This window comes from Homo sapiens, chromosome 2 (assembly GCF_000001405.40).
Source record: "Homo sapiens chromosome 2, GRCh38.p14 Primary Assembly".
Taxonomy (NCBI): Eukaryota; Metazoa; Chordata; class Mammalia; order Primates; family Hominidae; genus Homo; species Homo sapiens.
In genome coordinates this window covers 38,144,030-38,166,142 of record NC_000002.12, presented here as the reverse complement: position 1 = coordinate 38,166,142, position 22,113 = coordinate 38,144,030, and the positions used below count along the sequence as shown (strand labels likewise).

General features: G+C 42.2%; 2 long non-coding RNA genes and 1 pseudogene across 3 annotated transcripts in view, besides 7 other annotated features; 1 reads left to right on the top strand and 2 right to left on the bottom strand.

Annotated features, from left to right (window-relative positions):
* LOC107985871 (uncharacterized) overlaps window positions 1-22,113 on the top strand; it is a 62,078-nt gene that overhangs the window by 6,251 nt on the left and 33,714 nt on the right. Inside the window, exon 2 of one of the 2 annotated variants that reach the window (XR_001739413.2) lies at window positions 14,301-14,394. This is a non-coding gene — a long non-coding RNA (uncharacterized LOC107985871). Of the gene's footprint in view, window positions 1-14,300; window positions 14,395-15,976; window positions 19,309-22,113 lie in introns of those variants that run through there. The other variant, XR_007086290.1, reaches the window with a different exon arrangement.
* The window catches only part of CYP1B1-AS1 (CYP1B1 antisense RNA 1), a 50,751-nt gene that overhangs the window by 15,713 nt on the left and 12,925 nt on the right, over window positions 1-22,113 (bottom strand). The window lies entirely within an intron of this gene.
* Window positions 18,382-19,190: an enhancer, noted in NCBI's record as "H3K27ac-H3K4me1 hESC enhancer chr2:38374095-38374903 (GRCh37/hg19 assembly coordinates)". NCBI's record gives its function as "activates a minimal SCP1, AML or CMV promoter by ChIP-STARR-seq in primed H9 embryonic stem cells {active_cell/tissue: H9 hESC(primed)}" and the evidence as "EXISTENCE:reporter gene assay evidence [ECO:0000049][PMID:30033119]".
* Window positions 18,382-19,695: a biological region, named in NCBI's record as "P300/CBP strongly-dependent group 1 enhancer GRCh37_chr2:38373590-38374789".
* Window positions 18,496-19,695: an enhancer, noted in NCBI's record as "P300/CBP strongly-dependent group 1 enhancer chr2:38373590-38374789 (GRCh37/hg19 assembly coordinates)". NCBI's record gives its function as "activates an origin of replication core promoter dependent on BRD2, BRD4, P300/CBP, MED14 and CDK7 cofactors, with strong dependence on P300/CBP, by STARR-seq in HCT116 cells {active_cell/tissue: HCT116}" and the evidence as "EXISTENCE:reporter gene assay evidence [ECO:0000049][PMID:35650434]".
* On the bottom strand, window positions 18,622-18,728 carry RNU6-951P (RNA, U6 small nuclear 951, pseudogene; annotated as a pseudogene).
* Window positions 18,882-18,971: an enhancer, noted in NCBI's record as "active region_15604". NCBI's record gives its function as "activates an Ori minimal core promoter by ATAC-STARR-seq in GM12878 lymphoblastoid cells {active_cell/tissue: GM12878}" and the evidence as "EXISTENCE:reporter gene assay evidence [ECO:0000049][PMID:35858748]".
* Window positions 19,002-19,181: an enhancer, noted in NCBI's record as "active region_15603". NCBI's record gives its function as "activates an Ori minimal core promoter by ATAC-STARR-seq in GM12878 lymphoblastoid cells {active_cell/tissue: GM12878}" and the evidence as "EXISTENCE:reporter gene assay evidence [ECO:0000049][PMID:35858748]".
* Window positions 19,262-19,361: an enhancer, noted in NCBI's record as "active region_15602". NCBI's record gives its function as "activates an Ori minimal core promoter by ATAC-STARR-seq in GM12878 lymphoblastoid cells {active_cell/tissue: GM12878}" and the evidence as "EXISTENCE:reporter gene assay evidence [ECO:0000049][PMID:35858748]".
* Window positions 19,392-19,441: an enhancer, noted in NCBI's record as "active region_15601". NCBI's record gives its function as "activates an Ori minimal core promoter by ATAC-STARR-seq in GM12878 lymphoblastoid cells {active_cell/tissue: GM12878}" and the evidence as "EXISTENCE:reporter gene assay evidence [ECO:0000049][PMID:35858748]".

The following is a 22,113-nucleotide window of genomic DNA, read 5'->3' as shown; positions in this document are numbered from 1 at the left end:
TACAGACTTTGGCACTAGGCAGTCCTCAAATTCAGTAGCCATGAGATGTGAGGAAAGGTCCGACTGTTCAGGAAAGAAACCAAGACATGTAACAAAGCCTACCTCCCAGCTATCTCTATTTCTCTCTTCTCCTCTCCCAAACCCCCAGCCCTGACCTAATCTCTGTTAGGATCCCAGAGATGGACCCAGTAGTCTCATATTCATTTCTGGTGAAGTCATAACACAAGCTCTCTTTTCACTGGCCCCAGGCCCTGTCACTCCTAGCTAGGTGACCTTGGGGAGTCACTTTATCATGCAGGACCTGGAGTGTTCATTTATAAAATCAGTAGCTCAAGTTGGATGATTTTTAACACCTGTTTTATTTCTGACATTCTGACTTTATTTTAGTCTAGAAATTCTTACTCTATGTAGAGAATAGCCTTCGGTATATTATTCCTAGTTGCTCAGTTGATAACGTGAAATACCTTGTTAACTGGAGCCAAACTTAAATCCACAATAAAAGACTAGGCTTATGCCATTACTTGTTCTAAAGAAGGAGTACATTTACTTGAATTCTTTCCCATGATCCAACAATTGTCACGTGGACCTTACTTAAGGGCAGAGTTTCATTCAGTAAAATATATTCACTTTATCATTCATTAAGCAGCGTTAAGTTTGTAGTCTTTGTCCTAGATTAAGATTTCTATTGACGGTTTGGGGCCAGATAACTTTTGGTTATGCAGGCTGTCCTGTGCATTGGAGGCTGTTGAACAGCATCCCTGGCCTCCACTTAGTTGGTATTAGTAGTACCCCCATCTAGTTATGACAACCAAAAAGTCTCCAGACATGGCCAGATATCCCCTGGGGGGCAAAATCACTGTCCTTAATGTTGGGGATGTGATGACTAATACCCATTCCCTGTTCTCTAGGATCTCACAGTCCTCGGTGAGGAGAGAACCATTGCACAGTTAGTTACGATACCTCATGGAAGCACACTGATGGTGCTATCCATCACAGCATATTTTGGGAGCAATCAGCCAGGGAAGTCCCCTGGCCGAGCCTTCACGGATGAGTAGGGTTAACCAAATGAAGCATAGGCAGAGGGCAAAAGGTGACAGCAGTTGCAAAGCCACAAAGCTGAGCAACAGCTTGGGGTGTGTGAGGGACTTCTTGCCCATCTGCAAGGCAGCAGGTTGGCAGAAGTGATATTGAAGAGGCAGACAGCACTTTGTAAGGCTTCTCAGATGTTCTCTTCTGGGGAATGGGGAGTCTCAGGGAGCTCTGAGGCAGGGGAGAAACATGGTCAGATGTAAGTTGTAAACAGACTGGATTTGCAGCAGACAGGCTTGGAGGCTGTTGGAATAGGTAATCTAAGAAAAAGAAGATGAGGGCCTGAGCCCAGGCAGAGGGTGAGGGGCTGGAGAGGAGAGATGAAGAGGGGCCTGAGGGAGCACCATCATGGAACAGCAAGGGAGGCCCTTTTGCACCCATGGCCAGAGTTCTCCAGTTGCCCACATTCTCAGGGAAGGTACACAAACCATTATATATATATATATATATATATATATGTGTGTATGTATATATAACCATTTTTATATGAAGTACACTATATATCATTTATATATATGTGATGAAGTTACATTCAATGAGAAGGTGATTAACCTAATTTTGCAACTAATTGTATTAGTCCATTTTCCTACGGCTGTGAAGAAATACCCGAGACTGGGTGATTTATAAAGAAAAAGAAGTTTAACAGATTCACATTTCGACATGGCTGGGGAGGCCTCATAATCATGGCAGAAGGCAAAGGAGGAGCAAAGCCATGTCTTACATGGCGATAGGCAAGAGGGCATATGCAGAGGAACTGCCCTTTATAAAGCCCTCAGATCTGGTGAGACTTATTCACTGTCATGGCAACAGCACGGGAAAAACCTGCCACTGTGATTCAGTTACCTCCCACTGGGTCCCTCCCATGACATGTGGGGATTATGGGGGCTACAGTTCAAGATGAAATTTGGGTGGGGACACAGCTAAACCATATCACTAACCTAATTAGCCAGTGAAGCTTTTGACCAGTTTTTAATGTGTCGAGAAAGACAGGTCTACTTCAGTTTACAGATGTGCAGCAAACGGGCAATGTTTTGCCAACAAACTGTTCTCCATAAGAGAGCATGCCTTTGAATTTCCACATGCTCCTCAGCAGATCCAAACTGTAGGGGGCCACCCTGGGAAATTTCTGGAATCAGGAGGTCTTCCACCACCACCAGCTGCTAATGCTGCTGCCACAGTTTCAATTAGATGGAAATTGAGAGATAGATGAATGCTTAAAGAAGATTGCAGTGAGAAAGCAAAGTGCACACAGTGTATCCTGGAATGATTGGCAGTTGGCTCTCAGGTGTCAGGAGTGTCAGGTTTGTGCAAATGTAATTGCAGTTTTTGCCATTACTTTTAATGACAAAAACAGCAATTGCATTTGCACCAACCTAACAGATTGCTTCTCCCAGAACCTCCAAAATCATTCCCTGTCGGTAACAAAGTTAGGGCACAGGTTACTTTCAAGTTCCTTTAAGTCAGAGATCATGCATTATATACCACTCTGGCCCTTCCACAGAGCTGTGCAAAAGCAGACATTTAATAAGTATTTGTGAAAATGAATCAACATGATGACTGCATTAAGTTCTCCCCAGCCTAAATAACACTCCCAAGAGGAAAAAAAAAACTCCCAAGAGGGAAGCAGGGATGATAGCTGAAATCTACGGGAGTGTAAGTGGAGTCAAGCCAAGCCTAGAAAATTGGTGGAAGGGGGTATTTCGACACGCAGAGCTGACCCCAAGCAAACCCAAGAATTAGACAAACTGTGTCTCTTTACCTTTATTCTCATGGCAACCCCTGGCTTCCCATGCTTCTCACCTAGGTTCTTAGGTTGGACCATGCCAGGTGGCACTCTGGGTCCCTCTGCTGCATGCAAACAGCTCCTCTATGATTTATGCTGACGAGCTCTATGATCTTGGAGGGAGTAGCCCCAAAGCTATTATGAGGTGATAGCAGAGACCTTCTTTCTTCTAGGACTGAAAACTTTTCTCTTCTTGGCTAACCCATATTATCTCTGTCCTGCTGTGAAGTTTGATTATATAAAGAGAGGATGGATGGGATTTGAATTAATTATACTGATTTCATCTGAAGGAAGTCTCTTATTCAAAATATCTTCCTTTTTGGTAGATCACTGAAGATTGTTTTGAGTTGAGCTCTGTGTTTAAAAAGAGTTGCTTTACATTAGAACATAATATTCTTAGCAGATTGAGATCAACATCCTAGGAATAGAAATTTTGCCTGGGACAGAGAGGAGAAAGGAGAAATGTTGTATTTTTACAGTAGACTTAGATGGCAAGGCAGTAAAAGGTTGGGGAGAGGTTCAAAAATGGAGATAGGAGAACAACAAGAGAAAGTGTGGCTTATATTGGGATTGTTCTCTAGGGTCCTGGTGGTAACCAGTTCTTCCAGGGCTTTGTGGTTGAGTTCCAAAGGTCACACAAACCCCTTGGCTCAGAATCTCTGATTGAGGAGAGGCTCTCTCTGCAGATCAGCACCAAGTTTCTTTGCTATTCTTTGCTATTCCCTGCTTTAGGGAAAGTTGGAGAAAGTAAAAAGAGACTAACAACAAGCCAGGGAGATATATCCTGAAATTCTTTAATGCTGTATGTAGAATTGAAGAGAGCTAGAGCTGGAAGGGCCCTTGGTGAGTCCCTAGTTTAACGCTTTTTTTTTTTTTTTTCTTTTCTTCCCCCCATAGCTGAGGCCCATAGAGGGTAAGAGCCCACTCCAGGCATGCTGGTTTTAAGACTAAGGTCTGTCCAGTACCTGAATGACGTGCTGAGAATGGGGTATAGGATGGTCCTTTTTTTTTTTTTTTTTTTTTTTTTGAGACGGAGTCTCGCTGTGTCTCCCAGGTTGGAGTGCAGTGGCGCGATCTCGGCTCACTGCAAGCTCCGCCTCCCGGGTTCAAGCAATTCCCTGCCTCAGCCTCCCGAGTAGCTGAGATTACGGGTGCCCGCCACCATACCTGGCTCATTTTTGTAGTTTTAGTAGAGACGGGTTTTCACATCTTGACCAGGCTGGTCTTGAACTCCATACCTCGTGATTCACCCACGTCAGGCTCCCAAAGTGCTGGTATTACAGGCGTGAGCCAGCGTTCCCAGCCAGGTTGGTCCTTTTTTAGGAAGCAAGAATACTTGTGCAGAAAGGAAGCCACACTGTGGCTGGGTGGCTTTAGTTAGATCTTTTGCAACTATTCATGCCATAGTTGAGATCTGGATTTTTTGCTTCCCGTTGATGTTTGCCATTAGGTTTATTAAAGGATCTTATGTCAAGCTGACAAAGGCACCTGAGTTGAGAGAGTGGGGCTTGAGGGAATGAGAAGAGGAGCCCAAGCCCGTGCCTGAAGGAAACAGCCTCAGAAGAAGGCAGCTTTGCCCAACACTCATGAGGCCATTGCCAGATGAAGCTCTATTTCATATCTGTATTTAGTTTCAATATAAAAAGATGTACTAGATTTATGCTGCAGCTAGAAAAATCCCAAAGTAGGCCACCCTTTCTGTGGTTGGTCCCCTAGCTCCATTTCTGAACCCCTCCCCAACTGTTCACTGCTTTCCTTTCAGAAGACTTCCCCCATCCCTGCCTAGCCCATCTGCCTCTACTGCAAAATGCAACATTGCTCCTTTCTCTTCTCCAGACACAATTTCAATTCCCAGAATGTCGATCTCAATCCACTGAGGATATTAAGTTCCAATGTAAAGCAACTTATTTTAAACAAAGTTTTTAAAAGTTCAGCTGAAAACTCCAGCTGCAAACCTCCCAGAGTAGATGTATCTCGGTTTAAGATGTGTGGCCTTAGAGCAAGTAAGTGTATTCCTCTCTCCTGAAAATACCCTAAACACAGATTCTCATAGAAACAAATCAGACAGAATTATTTTATGAACTATCCCAGCTTTCCTCCAGAACTGAAGATGGGCTGTAACATTCCTGCCTAGAAATTTTTTGTTGTTAAATTCTGGTCATTTGTAATTGACATTTACTCCATGCCTAGAAGTTTTTAGGGAATAGACTTCAATGGATTGAGAGATGCAACAGTAAACCATATAGACTGTAACAAAATACCATAGGCATGAAAGACTTGTGACCTACAGGTGTAAGACAGAATGTCTGAAAAGTGCACACTTGTTTTCAGTATCCTAAATGGCATGAGTGAAAACCCTAATGATTTAAATCCTGATTCATAGCAAAAGATTTATGAAGATAGCCCAAAGGTATGTCTCCTAAAGTCACTGAGAAGAGACAACTCAGGCAAGGCAGAGAGAGCAAGAGAAAAATGCTCAGAAAAGAGCATCACACCAGGCTGTTTTACAAACAAGCCTTCTGCCCCTCCTCCCAAATGCGAAAGGTCTTTCTCTACAGCAGGTGCCTAACATGAGCAGCCTCATGGTGTTTTCAGTTTCCACAGCTGGATATATAATTCACTGGCTCCTGGGGAAAGCTAGATATTAGATCATTCACATGAAATCGTGACATGAAATTTTCAGTGGAAATCCATCCGATTTTCATTTCTCTCGTTAAGCACAGATGAAAAGTTGCCCCAGAACGTAAAAGGTCACTTCTATACCTTGGTTTTTCAATTTATCAGCCTTATTAGGAGTGGGGCAATTCAACCCACATGTCTCACTTCCCATATCCTTCCTCTAAGCATCCCTGGAGACCACCTCAGCAGTCCCATGACAAGCCCCCAGAAACACTTTAGATCATCTCATTAAATGTGTATCACAGTAGTTTTTCAATAGTTTGTTTGGCACATGAGTCTGTGCTAAAATCGGTGCTTTGATTAAAACAATAGGGGAAGAATTCACGGAATGCATTTGACTCCACCATACCCATTTGTGTCCACAAGGGAATAGTTTGGGTTCAAAATCATCAGGTAATAGGGAATCCTAATTACTTTCCATCCCATCCCTAAGGCCAATTCAGTTTTAGTATAAATAGCACAGAGGTGAAAGCCCATTCCAGGCTAGGTTTCAAGAGTAGGGAACTGCCCAGAGATTATCCTCCCTCCAAAAAACCCCTAGTGCGTTACATTCTATACCTTCTCCCCTAGTCCGTTTTATTTTCCGTATCAAAGAGAATGCTCAGGATTCAGCCCCCTCATCAGTAGCAAGACCACCTGACTTGGCCAAAGTCACAGCTAGAGTCTCTTTTACTCATAGAGTTCTTCAGGGACAAATCACTTCGCAAAGCACAGGATGTTTTTTTCAACAAGAGTCGCTTCTAAGAAAGGGCTAGTGTTCCTAGTAAGTATTTGACTTGCTTCACTGCCAATAAAAGGGGTTGGAGTGAGCAGCATTTGGCAGCCTCTTGATCCTGTTCACTTTATTAGAAAAGGCCGCCTTCATTTTCAGCCTTCCTGGAACCCTAATTTTTTTGGCTTTCCCTCCAGAATGGTTTTGCTGGTCTGCCCACTGTCCTCTGAGAAGGGTGGCTGAAAGCAAAGTTGGAGTCACTCCCTACCCCAATACCCTTTCTCAGCCTCTGATCCTCATATCTAGACCCCTCCAGGTTTTGGTCTGCCCTCCAAACAGCGAACCTCCAATATCACGATAGGCATGATTGTCTTGAGGCCTTCTAACTCCTCTCTGGAGTTAATACGATATAAAGTGCCACCGGATTTATTGCTTGCATTTGGCTTGGTCAGTGCACTCATTTTCTGCCAAGGGAAATATCAGCAGGGAGTAGAGACGAGTATGAGAACCAAACAAACATAGGTTTACTCCTTACTGAACTCCTTACTAAACAGAAAGAAAACCCATCATCTGTGTCCACATAACCATCTCCAGGAGGCTCACAAGTAAGTTCTCCTGACTTGAAGTTGGCAATTCCATATGCTTGGCAGAGGTTCTCGTACCTTCTGTTGTGGGTAAGAAGCACTCTAAGACCTTGCAGAAAGAATTAGGAGAAATCGCCCTCTCAATAGCCTATGTGTTGTCTCCAATTCTCAGGGTTTTAGTAGGAATTGATTATAATTAATTTCCCATTCTCTTTTTTCCTCCTGCAAAACTTGGCTATGTGACCGGCTCAGCTCCTCTCACTAATATCCCATTCATCTCAGGCTCTTCTGCCCAGAGTTTCCTTTATCAGCCGCTAGTGCCTGGGGCCAGCTGCTGTTGCTGAAGCTCTTATATCAACTTTTCTTTCACTCCTGACCTCTGCTTCAGTTGGCTTCATTTTCTTAATGTATTTGTATGTGAGATGGAATGAGAGTGCGGAGAGGGTAAAAAATGTTCTCCCAAGGCCATGCCTACTTCTCAAAAATGAACTGAAAAATTGTCCAGTTAGCTGAGTCTCTTAGGCCTAAAAGCAATCTTTATCCTCAAATAATGAAAACTAAGCAAAAAGTATGAGTCTACGGAGACCAAATTCAGCAAATAATTGTCTCCATTTGCCATTTTCTTCCTGCCTGTAGTGACAAAGAAAAACTCCTCCAGTGTTTTTCCATCTGGGCTCATTCACATGGAACCTTTGCTCAGGATGTGGAGAGGTGGGGAGGTTAGGCTGAGAGGAGGCCAGAAGCACTCCCGTGGAAAAGTTCAGTTGGGATAAATGCGCAGATACAGGGAAACTCAGACCTCAGAAGAGCCCTTCCCCTGAACTCCCCAGCATCCTGTCCTCTGCCCCCACTCTGGGTTTTATGGTGGCCTCACTGCCTTTGGTGTATTTTTTTTGTTTCCCAAACCCAAAGGAGTGAAGAAAGACACTATGTGCTTTTCTTCCTGATAGGAACCTTGTACTATCTGGCCACATAAACCAAAAGACTTCACCAATCCTCTGTTCAAGTTTCTGCCATTTTTCCAGGAGCCAGAAGCTTCCTTTCCCAGGAAATGGCAAAGTATATGCCGGTGAGCCCTGGTCTATATAAAGATGCCACACTTTTCCTCCTCTGACAAATACCCGACCTTTGTGTGGAGCTCTGAGCAGCCAGACAACTCTCAGCCTGTTATTGGTGTCCCTGGATTCCTCTCAGTAGAAATGTAACCAAAATACAGGTTTAGTCACTTGCCACCTGCTTAGTCCAATGAACAAGAGCGGAGTCTGGTATAAGGAATGTGATTTTGTATTCCAAAGCTAGCTTAGGGAAGTACAGGCTGCCTGCCTTATGGGTACCACTTTGCTTTTGGAGCAGAAAGCAGAAACTTTTAAAAGGGGACTTGGCATGAATGGCATGCAAGGGAGGGCGTGAGCAGGTGGGGGTCTGCATGACTCGATTTGTGCCTTATCTACCAGGTGGTCGAGCTGGCACCATCCCGGGCAGAACTAGGTTGTAAAGTGGCCTTGTCTCGAGATACTTTCCAGGTGGGAGAGGGTTTCATAGTGGGCGTACTTTAGGTTGCGTATTGACTGTTGTCTTTTGAGGAAATCTCCTGGTAGGACAGAGTTCTGTCCTGGAGCTTTTAAGTAAGCACATAGTCAGATAAGCTTGCCCTGTAGGGATGTCTGGTGGAGGGAAGGTAAAATATTATCATCATTGCATTTCTAAAGAGCTAAATAGGAAGTGGGGAACAGGGGAGTAGGGGGAAAGAGAGAAGAGAAAATAAAAAATAATTCATTCTCTATCTCAGAAACAATGGGGGGTACTTGGTTACAGAACTTCATGGAGTTCTCAACATTAAAAATTCCACTGCACTCTTGATGGGATCACCTCCCAGAAGCTGAGGGATATGGCATCATTTTTCTTTCCTCTACTCTGACTCCCAACATATACCTCCCCCAACCCCCAAAGTTTGCCTCCTTATGCTATGAGCAGATGAACTCATTCATCCTTATAGCTCTAGTACACCCACCTAATGGGGTACATTGTCCTTAGTAGGTCCTTAGTAAGCTCGAATCAGAATTCAGTAAGTGGCTACTTATGGTTCTTGAACACCAACATACAAAAAATTGGACATAACCATGATTTATTCTCATTCCTTGTCATCTTCATTTCAGTCTGTTCCTCAATTCCTTGCTAACATTCCTGAATGCCCAGGATTCTCAAATAGATCTATCTCTTTGCGTTTTGCTTTGGCTATAAAGTTTTCTCTCCTCTCTCATTCCACAATAAATCCCCAGAGAGCTGCTTCCCTCAGAACTGACCTGTTAATGGGTGATGATAGCTGAATCCTATTGGAATCATTGCATTTTATCTGATGCCTCCATGTAAAAACAGAACTAGGCACCACCAAGAGCTATTGAGGAAGTTACTTTTGACCAATGGTAGGCATTGCCAGTGATATCAGTTTTATTTCTTAGAAGCTTATCTCTTCAGTGTGCTCACAAAGATGCACCTGAATGATTCGATGTTCTCTGATATTTGAGGACAAGTATACCAGGAGCTGTGTCTGTGTAGCTCAAACTTGCCCAAACAATAGAAACCAGCAAAACCAGCAAGCTGAGGAAACTGATTAGATGTTAGCATTCAGAGTCAAACCGAATAGTTTATGACACGCTAGTTGGAATCAAACCAAGACATGGGAGTTCAGGACTTGCCACTGGCAGCAAAAAGAGTATAGCTCCCTCTTCCCAGGAACCCTATTTTGGCTCAGCTTTAGAAGTCACATTTCGTGATCTTTTCTTCTCTTTCTTCCCCCATGTCTCTGTGCAGACTGACCTCATCCTGACTGTCCGTATTAGTTTCCTAGGGCAGCCATAATAAATCACAACAACTTGGTGGCTTAAAGCAACAGAAATTTATTCTCTCACAGTTGAGAAGGTCAAAAGTCTAAAAATCAAGGTGTTGGCAGGGTTGGTTCATTCTGAAGGCTTGAAGGAGAATTCATTCCACGCCCTTCTCCAGACTTCTGCGGGGTGCTGGCAGTCTTTGGTGTTTTGGGCTTGGGGGTGCAGAACTCCAACGTCTGCCTTCATCTTCACATGGCCCTCCCTCTGGGTCTCTGGGTCTGTTTTCCCTTCTCTTCTAAAGATGCCAGTCATTGGATTTGGCTCCTCAGTCCAGCCCCTACCTCCAGGATAATCTCATCTCAAGACACTTTAATTACATCTGTAAATACTATTTCCAGATAAGATCCCATTACAGATACAGGGATTTAGGACTCGGACGTATCTTTGGGAAGAGGGGCGGCACAATTCGACTGACTCCTCAGTCTAAGGGAAGCAATGTGAAGTGGTAGTAAGAGTTAAACATAGGACTTTGGAGATGTTTTCCTCTGTTGGGGTCCCACTTCTGCCACTGACTGGCTCTGTGGATTTTGGTTAAGTGCTTTACCACTCTGTGATTCATTTGTAAAAAGGAATGACACTCTCTTTTCATAGAAGTAGGAAAATCCTTTTTTATAGCAATAGGAAGTATTGCGATGTAATTAAACAGATGTAGTGTCTAAAACAGTTCTAGCACAAAGAAGTGGCAAGCAAATAGGAGATTCCTTTTCCTTTCCTTTGATCTTATCCATCCTGTAGACTGCAGCTTTGTGGGCTTCTTGTGTCTCACTGTCCTCCAGTACCTGGTTTCTGAGACATTCACTGGGCACTCACATTGGTCAGAATTTTATCTAAGAAAATGACAAATTTCCCAACTACATTATAAGTAGACATCTAATTATTCTTTGTATGTTTTATAGAATCCTGTATGGTGCGCTGCATTCAGTAGGTAATCGATGTATGTTTGTTAATTATTATTTTATGAAAAATGAAAATCTCACATTTAAAGACTTCCAGAGAGGGAAGGGAAAAAAAAACCTCCTTGGAAAATTCTTCCTGTGTGTAAATGAAAGGCAGAGCCCACAATTTAAGCAGGTTGATGTTCCTCCTAGTCCGATGGTATTTTGCTTTAGGGATGTGGCCATTTCAGGCTGCTGGGAATTAAGTGGCTGGAACCAAATGGTATCAGTAATCAGGCCAGTCAAGATAAAGTCTAGGCAGCAGGAAATGTATGAAGTAGGGTCTGGAGTCTGAGAGAACATAAAAGGATTCTCAGGATGTGGGCGGGAATACTAACAGATTTGGAAACAAGGTTCCCATAAGCCGGGAGACTTATTTCCAAGAAGGTTTCTCATCAGATTTTGTTTTAACAACTCTTTGAGAGAGAGTATTATGCTTTTATTTGTTAAAGTGTCCAGATTACTTTAGTGTACTTGCTCGGTAAGTCCATCTGAGACTTAAATCTGTCTAGTCAGACCCTCTCATTGTTGAATCAGACACCAAAGATGTGCTCAGGAAGATCTGGGAAGCCTGCAAAGAGGTCTGCATTCTGTGTTGGCTGAGGGACCATCCCTCAGGCTGTTCATTACTGAAATGCACTCTGCTAAAAGTTAGCATGAGTCTGGCTGCAAGGACCATGACATCCTTTTCTGAGCCCCTCTTGCCCAGCCCAGCTTGGGCTGCCCTCTGAGAAAGTTGCCAGCCTACCATATTGAAGATAAATGTTGCTTGGCCCTGTCCAGATGACAGAGATTCAGCCATGCCACGTTCAGACTTGCTTGGGCAGTTAGTTCCCTCTTGGATGCCAAAGCCTGCTGAGGCAATGGATATCATTAGCTGTCAGGGGTGTGCTGAGATCAGCTTGCAATGTCTGCTGAGATCAGTTTGCAATATCTCCTGAGAGCCAATTGTGTGCATCTCTTCTAAACTCTGCATTCAATGACATCACATTAACAGCTTGAAATCAACTCTGGTGGGAGTATTTTCGCCATGGAAATTGGCAAACTCTACAAATCAGGACTTTCTCTCTTCCCAGTCCTCATCCTACCCCACTTCTGGGCATGCTGACATAACAATCATTCACTCTTTCTAGGAAGACTCTCTTCATCCAGCTTCCAGGAGGCCACATTTCTCAATCTGCTTTTCTCAATTTCTTCTTTTGACACTGGAATGCCTCAGGATTCCATTCTTCAACCTCTTCTCTTCCTACACCGATTCCTTGGTGGTCTCATTCAGTTACATGTCTCTAAATTCCATCTTTATGCTGAGGACTCAAAATGTATATTACCAGTTTGGACTTCTTTGAATTCCAGCCCTGTATATCCAGTTGCCTACCTTATTTTTCCACTTGGATATTAAGTAGACATCTCACCTTAAAATGAGTAGAATTGAAATCCCCTCCAGAACCTGCTTGATCTACAGTCTTTTCTGTCTTAGAATGGCAACTTCCAGCTTCTCAGGCCAAAAACTTTGGAGTCATGTTTGACATCATCATTTCTTTCACAATTACACGTGCAATCCACCGGCAAATCCTGTTGGCTCTGCCTTTGAAGACATCTGGAACCTGACCACTTCTTATAATCGGTGGTAATTACTCTCCAAGTCTAGATTTTTGCCACTCTTTTAATTGCTCTCCTGTTTCTCCCTTGGATGCTTACCATCTTTCACTCAGTGTGAAAGCCCCAGTCATTACAATGGGCTGCCAGGCCCTATTGAGTTGACACCTTCTTACTTCTCTGACCTTATCTCCTACTGACTGCATTTTGGGCACATGAGCCTCCTCCTGGTTTCCACAACATGGCGGGTTTGTTTACATCCTCAGCCTGTGTACTGGTTGTTCTTTCTGCTGTCTTCCGGGAAATCGCTTAGTGTTCTTCCTCATCTCTTTCACCAGCTGTCTCAACTGTTATCTGATTGTTATTGAGGTCCACCCTGGCCATTTTTTTTGGTAAAGAAACAGAAAACAATAGTAACAACAACAAAAAAGGCCACCTTGAATGCCCACTCCCACCTCCCATCACTTGCTTTATTTTTTCCCATAGCACTTATCACCTTCTAACATACATATCTTTTATTTATTTATTTCATTTATGTTTTCCCCTCTCCTCTAGAATATAAACTCTATGACAGCAGGGATTTTGGTCTGCTTGGTCACTGTTGTATCTCCAGGGCTTATAAAAGTCCTGATCTACGGTACAGTTGATTCTCATTATTTGTAATATAAGTTATGCTCTATAAAGTCACTGCAAACAATGAATTAGCAAATATTGAACCACTGCTCCTAAGGGAAATGCAGGTTTAGGTTCCAGTGAGCCTCTAGTTACATTTTTGCCAACTGATCAATAGATAACCTTACTTTATGTGTGTTTCTGATTAAAGATGCCTTACTTAATATATATTGTTGATTCATCAGCACTGAGCTCACAGCCAACAGCACTTTAACTCATGCCTGAGCAAGGTGTATCTAACACATGTATTTTCTCTGTAAGGCACATCACAGCCTTATTGTTTTTAGGAATACTAGACTTGAGGGTCATTTTTAGAGAGTGAAATTGCTAACAAAACCACAAAAGTTTGAAAAATAAGGCACTAGGTTGACCACAGAAGGTCACTTGTTTACAGTATGAGAATGGAAACAAGAGGGCAGAGTATTGCCTTGTTCACCTTCGTCTGTTGACGTGCACATAAGGTAACTCAATATTTTGCCACTTGGTGCATGCCTACAAATGCCTGCAAAAACTCTGAATACTGATTTGGGGGTTACAAATAAATTTTAGTCAGTAGGCAAATTTACAAATGCAAAAATCTTCAAATAGTGGGGATCAGCTGTATATTCTCAACATCTACTTATTGAGAATGTAAACTTGATTCTCTGATACTGACACACACGTGGCCTCTGGAAATCTTGAAGTTAAACATCTGCAGGGCATCTACCTAGTGTAATTTGGATAGTTCCTTAGAGCTGCATGTCTTAATGTCTTCTTCCACTTTTTCCTTATCTTGGTTTGAAAGGCTAGGAAAGGATTCACTCCTTTGGGCTTCAAAACATCCTTGTTATATTGAACATGTGTTATAAATAATCAGGACTGGAAACACAGAAGTCAGGGTGAGCTGAGGAGGGGAGAAGAGCAGATAGCACTTCCTCATCTGTGCATTAACACATGATGAGTGGCAAATTGTATTTTCCAAAGATGGCCAGTGTCTCCTATCGTCTGTGCTCTTCTACGTTGTGACCTTAGTTCCCCCTCATCAAGACGTGGAGTCCACTTGAATCTGAGTGGGCTTGTAATTGTTCAAACAGTAGAGTAGGGAAAGTGATACTGCTTGACTTCTGAGGCTCAATCATAAAAAGTGACGCAGCTTCCTCTTAGTTTTCTAGAACACTAGTTCTTGGAGCCTTGAGTCTGAATACCTAGGCCACCATGTTGTGAAAACACCAACCCATGTATAGAGGCCATGGGTAGGTAATGAGTCACCTATCCTCGTCTTTGAGTCCTATTAGCATAGGAACCAGACCTGTGAGGAAGGGAGCCTTGAGATGATATTTGCTCCCGGCCATCAAGTAACCATTGGCCTTTGCTTCTTTCCAGCTAAGGTCCAAGACATTGTGGAACAGAGACAAGCCATTTCTACTGTGTCCTTATTGAATACCTGGCCCACAGTATCCCTGACCATAACAAAATGGTAAGGGTTTAAGTGGTAAAGTCGTTACATGTTTTGAAGGTGGTTAATTCTACGGTAAGTGACCAGACAAATGGTTCTAAATTCACTTGTGTTGCTAGTGTCATAAGACAAAATTACAACAAATTTGGTTTAAAGATCTTAATTGCTGCCTGTGTTTTTGAGGTCTTAGCCATAAAATCTTTGCCTAGATCAATGTCCTGAAGCATTTCTCCTGTGTTTTCCTCTAGTAGTGTTATAGTTTCAGATCTTACATTTACGTCTTTAATCCATGTTGTGTTGATTTTTGTATATGGTGAGAAATAGGGATCCAATTTCATTCTTCCGGATATGGATATCCAGTTTTTCCAACACCGTATATTGAAGAGAGTATTTTTTCCCCAGTGTATGTTCTTGGCACCTTTGTTGAAAATAGTTTGCTATAAATACGTGGATTTATTTCTGGGTTCTCTATTCTGTTTCACTGGTCTATATGTCTTTTTATACTAAATATCATGCCATTTTGGTTACTATATGTAACCAAATATAGTATATTTTGAAGTCAGATTGTGTAATGCCTACCACTTTGTTCTTTCTACTCAGTATTGCTTGGCTATTTGGGGTGTTTTGTAGTTCCATATAAACTTCAGGATTATTTTTCTATTTCTGTGAAGAATGTTATTGGTATTTTGATAAGAGATTGAATCTGTAGATTACTTTGGGTAGTATGGTCATTTTAACAATATTAATTCTTCCAATTCATGAGCATGGAACGTCTATTTGTTTGTGTCTTCTTCAATTTCTTTCATCGGAAAGAATTTATTAAATTTGATTAAATTTATTCCTAGACAATTAATTTTTTATAGCTATTTTAAATGGGATTACTTTCTTGATTTCTTCTTCAGCAAGTTAATTATTGGTATATAGAAATGCTATTGATTATGTATGTTGATTTTGTATTCTGCAACCTTGTTAAATTCATTTATCAGTATAGCCATTATAGAAAACACTATGGAAGTTTCTCAAAAAATTAAAAATAGAACTACCATGTGATCCAGAAATCCCACTGCTGGGTATTTATCCAAAGGAAAAAAAATCAATATATCAAAGGGAGACCTGCACTCCCATGTTTATTGCAGCACTATTCACAATAGCCAAGATACAGTATCAATCTAAGTGTCCATCAACAGATGAATGGATAAAGCAAATGTGATACACACACACACACACACACACACACACACACACAATGGAATACTATTAAGCCGTAAAAAAGAATGAAATTCTATCATTTGCAGGAACATGTATGGAATTGAAGGGCATCTTGTTAAGTAAAATCAGCCAGGCACCGAAAGACAAATATTGCATATTCTTACTCATATGTGGGAGCTAAAAAGATGGATCTCATGGAGGTAGAGAAAAGAATGGTAGCTACTAGAGGCTATGAAGGGTGTGTGGGATGAAGAGAGGTTGGTTAATAGGTACAGACATATAGTTAGACGGAATAAGCGCTAGTATTCAGCCTCAAAGTAGGGTGACTATAGTTAACAAAAACATATTGAGTATCTCAAAATAGCCAGAAGAGAAAATTTGAAATGTTCCTAGCTCAAAGAAATGATACATGTTCAAGGCGATGGATATCCTAAATACCCTGATTTGATCATTACACATTCTATGGCTGTGTCAAGATATCACAGATACCCCATAAATATGTGTAATTATTATGTATCAAAAACTTTATATAAAAAACATTAATTTGCTGTATTTTTGATTCTACAATTGGGCAGCACTTTATTCCATAAAATAGAATGAGTGTTCTGATGAGCCAAGAAGAGGAGGTTGGTTTTACAGACAGAAAAGGGCTGTGGAAAGCAGAAAAAAACAAACAAAAAAAATGTGGATTGGTCATTTCAAAGTTTCTTTTCATGTAAAGGTTAAAGCAGAGGGGACTTTCTTGTCCTGCTGGCACTGGATCTAGGTCAGTGTTGGAGACGATGTCTGGGACTCAGGGCCTTCGCAGATCACAGAGGCTGGTCTTGCACAACCTCTAAGAGGCCAGGCCAGGCCATGGCTTACCTAAGAGCTCAGCCCAGGGAAGCCCTAGGTCCTTTCCTGGCATCTTAGAGGGAACCATGTCTTACTGGCTCAGGCTAGACTTGCACATTAATCCACTGAGTTGACTTTGGATCTTACAGGCTCAAAGGGTGGTCTTTGGGAGCAGGAAGTGATCAGGACCCTGGTCAGATTCATATATCTGCAACTGAGCCCACTCAAAGAAATAAATAGAAAAATTACATATTTTTGGTTATTTGCCTTAATGTCACAGATTACCATTAGGCCAAAGATCTTCTGAGGTATATGCGTACAAGGTGATTTTTTAGTGTTTTTTTTTTTAAATTCTCTCTTTTTCTATAAATTTTAATGATGACTTGAGTATAAAACAAGATGATCCACTCTGCAGCACCAAAGGTGGGCAAGAGAAGAGATCAGAATCTGGTATGAGACTGAAAATCACTGTGGCAACCAGCTTCAGTGGGGCAGCTGGGGTTGGCTCTGAAGAAAGTCTGTTCCATTTGTATAGCAGACAGGAGCCCATGGGGTTCCCATCAGCTAGCACTGGGAGTGGACTTCAGAGGCTGCACGGGCTGCTGTTGGACTGGTCTAGGGGACGGGGGAGGAGGGAAGATGCCTGTGAGGCAAGGCAGAAGGGCTTCTAGACCTCAGACTGAGGGTCAGGGAAGACCTATCTTCCTAAAGGTGTTGGGGAATAGTTAGGCTAGCAGATCAGAACAGGTCAAAAGAATAAGCACTATGGTAGAGGCTATTGTGGGTTTGGGGAAGGGGAGAGAGAATAAAGGGAGGAGAGATCTGCAGCTTGTGTGCCTACACTGTTTCTCAGAAGCCTAGGCCTGGGAGCTGGTTAGCAGCAAGAACACACAATAGGGAAAGCCCCGTAATTGTCCTGGCTCCTGGCACTGGGAGACTGACTTAGTTCTCATGGCGAGGAGCTCTCTGAGAGTATCACCCGGGCAGAAATGTAAGGAGCACACCTGGTTTTGGCCAGTCATTGCCATGTTTGCAATAACATGGCTGTGGGCCAATATCATTAGGCAACTTTGTGACTTGGTCATTGAGCAATGATCGAGGTCCTATTTGAAAGCTAAGGTCAAGCTTATGAAGCAATGCCAGCTTGTAACATCGTGCAGGTTTATTTAACACAGATGAAACCAAGACATATCTTTACCATCCAGGAGTAAATTATCCCAGGCACAGGGAAAGATGAAGTAGGAATGTTTCTTTTGGTGTCTTCCATGTCTAGTTTCAGAGACCCCATTCAGCTCCCATCTCACTCTGTATCTCACCCCTGGCCTGTGCTCTATTCTCTCAGGGCCACGATCCTTCCTTTAGTCTTCCTCCATCTCTCCATCCCTCTTTCCTTCCTTCTTTCCTCAAATATATTTTTTGAAACAGTACTCAGGATTTTATTTGTTTATGTTTTAATTTCAACTTTTATCATAGATTAAAGGGTACACATGCAGGTTTATTACATGGGTAAATTGCATCACCCTGAGGCTTGGGATCCCAATGATCCCATCACCCAGGGAATAAGTATAGGACGCAACAGGTGGCACTCCAGCCCATGCCCCCTGCTCCCTTCCTTCCCCATCTAGTGATCCCCAGTGCCTATTGTTCCCATCTTCGTGATCATGTGTCTTCAACGTTTAGGCCCCACTTACAAGTGATAACATGCAATATTTTGTTTTAGGTTCTTACATTAGGTCATTTATGGAGGTCATAATGCCTTCCACCTCCATCCATGTTGCGAAAGGACATGATTTCATTCTTTTTTATGGCTGCATAGTATTCCATGGTGTATTTGTACCTCATTTTCTCTCTCCAATCCACTGTTGATGGGCTCTTAGGTTGATTCCATGTCCTTGCTATTGTGAATGGTGCTGCAGTGAACATAGGAGCATATGTGTCTTTAAGATAGGATGAATTACTTTCCTTTGGGTATATACTCAGTAGTGGGATTGCTGGGTCTAATGGTTGTTCTATTTTGAGTTCCTTGAGAAATCTCCAAACTGTCTTCCACAGTGGCTCAACTAGTTTGTGTTTCCATTAAGAGCATATAAGCTTTCCCCTTTCCTCTGCAGCCTCACCAGCAACTCTTATTTTCTGTCTTTTTAATAATAGCCATTCTGACTGGTGTGAGATGTTATCTCATTGTGGTTTTGATTTGTATTTCTCGAAATTATGGAATGCTGCATAAATTTGTGTGTCATCCTTGTGAAGGGGCCGTGCTAATGTTCTCTGTATTGTTCCAGTTTTAGTACATGTACTGCCGAAGCGAGCACTTGAATATTTTTTGAGCACCCGGTATGTGCCAAGGGTAGAGCAGAAAGTCTCTTCTCCCATGGGTCTTATATTCTAGTCAGGCGAGACTTACTACAAACAAACATAGAGCCATTGAACATATCAGGTGGTAAAAGGTGCCACGAAGGAAAATGAAATAGGGGAAAGGTACACTCAGCATGTCCAGGAAAGACTGGTCTGACAGGATGCTCTCTGAGGAGAGCCTTGGAAGCAGTGAAGGGGAAGCCAGATGGGTATGTGGGGGCGAAAACAAGGGGGGCCCAAGGCCTCAGGTGGGAGCCATTCTCGAATCAGCAGGGAGGCCTGTGTGGCCTCACTGCTGAGTCAGACAGAGAGGAGGTGGGAAGAGATGAGGTCAGAGGGAACTGAGGGTCAGATGGTATGGTAAGAGCTGGCTGTATCTGACTCAGCTTCAGGAATTTGCCTTCCCAGGGTCAGTTTTCTTAGTGGCTTCTTAATTACTGAAGATACATCAAAACTAAAATGAATGAATCTGAAGTGTCCTTTCAATTTTGGGGGAGAAATACTTGAACAAGGGGCACCTCCCTTCAAACCCCACAGGTATCTGCTTTTGAAAGCTTTGCTTCCCTTCTCCTCTCTAAAAGTTGTTTCCAGGCTGAGGAGCTGCGGGGGTGGCGGGAGAAGGGGGACTTCCTGAAGCAGGAACAGAAAACACCAGACTGTTCTCTGGCAATAAGCCTCCTCCCACCCAGCAGACATCTCAGTGGGGGGAGGTGAGGCAGGAGGTGGGTGACGCGTCGCGTGTGGCCTGGCCCCACTGTCCCTGCCCTCCTCACAACGGGCCTCAGCTTCTTGTGGCTTAAAACCTCTCAGGTGTCAACCAGTTCTTTTTCCTGAAGCAAGGGCAAGCTTTGGGATTCTGTAAGCCTTGAAAAAAATGTGCTCACAGACTTGTGGTAATCTCATGGCTCTCACTTGCTTTTCTGGCACTCTTTCACTTTACATCTGTGGGGTTGAATCACCAAAAAATGTTCAGCTGAGTTTGCATGTCAAAATAAATTAATGACCATTTTGTTTTTCTACTGAGAATGGGGAACCCAAGGGGTCAAGTGGCATTTTAAAAAGTATGCATTTGACCTGTGGAACAAGAGACAGCCTTTAGTTCTAAACAGGAAAGTCAGTGGTAGTATTTAGTCAAAAGAGGGATAGAGCTCATGCTTTCTTTTCTTCCTCTTTCTTTTTTAAAGGACCAAATTCTTGACTGAAAGTTGTATTTTTGTGAGGAATGAAGGCCTTTTTATAAGGAACGATCAATCTCTCCCAGCACTTTTCTTTCTTACTAAAAAAAAAAAAAAAAAAAAAAAAAATCTAAGAACTTCTATTACTAAAAAACTACCTAAGAACTTCTGTTCTTTCTCCTTGTATGTGTCTGTCTGAGATACCGAAATTCACCCAAGAAACAAAGTATCACATGAGCATCAGCAATAGATAAAAATGACTAAAACCAATAAAGCCAACTTACTGAAGAGATTCTGCCCTGTGTTCCAGATGGGCACGTACTTGGCCTTACTTGCCCGGTGATGTATTTCTACCCCTGACATCTGCCTTTTCTACTACACATAATTTCTGCATCATCCCTTGATTCATCCCTTACTTGAGTTTTTAAACCCCAGACTATTTACTGGATTTTCACCTTTATAAGCTATCACCATCTCTGTAGAAATTTCTGACATCAACTCATTTCTGGTCACCAGTCATCGCTTCAGAGTTGGTCTTAATAATCACCCTCACCTTCCCAGGGTTACTCTTTTCAATACAGCGCCCAATAATATCCCGCTCTTACACATGCTGATCCTATGCCACCAAGATAACTATATCCCAACCCAGCCAGGGGCTAGACAATACAGTATGGAATCCCTTGAAAATGAAAGTGCTTGTGCTAGACGTGAAGCATTAATCAGGTGAAGATCCAGGATTTGTGATGCTCTTGATGACAGAATCATTCTGATTCCTTCTCATGGCTTACAGGAGGGAAGGACAAAGTGAGTCACCAGTCCCAACAGTAGATACTTTTTGATGATGGTTTGTACTTCATCTTCCAGGGACCAAAAGATCAGTTTTAATATTCCAGTTTAATTTTGAAGGCAGAAGCAAAAAATTCTTCTGAGAATCCTAAGTGCAAAGAACCAACTGACTCTGTTTCTGTGTTACTTGATTTTCTTGCTGCCTTAGCAGCCCCTTTAGCATCTTCCTCTGCTTAGGCCATTTGTTAGAAAGGTAGAGTGAGAGCTAAGCATGAGTATAAGAAAGATTCATGGAAGAGTACTTTTTATTCATTATTCACTGATTCAGTAAATATTTATTAAACATCTACACTATGATTGATACTAGAAATATGAGTGTGCCAAAACAGACACAATTCTTGATTTCATGACAGTTATAATTCAGTAGGGGTGTCATACCTGAATGAAAGAATCACGGAAATAGATGTGAAATTACAAATGTTATAGGGACTACAAATGAGAGGTACACTGTGCCACTGTGAGCATAAGTGTGAGATTGACTGGCCAAGGAATTCAGGGAAGGCTTCCCCCAAGAAAAGGACAATTGATTTCAGGTTTGGAGGAGGTGATGAGGAGAGAAAAGAGCAGTTAATACAGATGGAATAGCACAGGCAAAGACCAGAGGCAGATACACTCCAGGAAATCCAGAACAGTATATAGGACCAAGACAACAGAGAGGGATAGGAGAGAGCAAGGAAAGCATGGTAACATGAGTCAGGTAGGGATCAGCCCATGTTAATGATTTTTGTTTTCATCCAAAAAGCAATGGACAACAATTTAGCCTTCTTTAAAACTGTGTGTGTGTATGTGTGTGTGTGTGCATGTAGAGAGAGAGAGACAAATACAGAGAGAGAATGAATTAGATTTGCATTATTAGATTTGCATTTCTAAAATGTAATGCTGGCAATGATTTGGAGAATGGATTATAGCAGGGAAAGATTAGAGGTGCACAATAAATTTGGAGCTATTTCATAATGCAAGTGAGAGGTGGTGGGAGCTAAAAACTGGATAGTGGCAGAGAGAGATGGCAATGGAGACAAGTGGAAGTATAAAATCAATAAAATTGCAAGATGGAATGTATATGGGGAATGAGGAAGGAAGAGGTGTCAAAGTGTCTGTATTTCAAACATGCATAATTGAAGTGATGGTGGTGTAATTCACTGAAATTTATATCACTAGAAGAAGTTTCCTATTTCATATTGTGGGTGTGTGTGTGTGTGTTTGCACATGCAGGCAGGCCAGAGAAATCACAATATTGGTTCTGGACATAGTGAGATAGATGTGTTATTGAAACAAACAAGTAGCAATTAGTCTGAAGTTAGTCAAAGAAGAGGTCTCATCT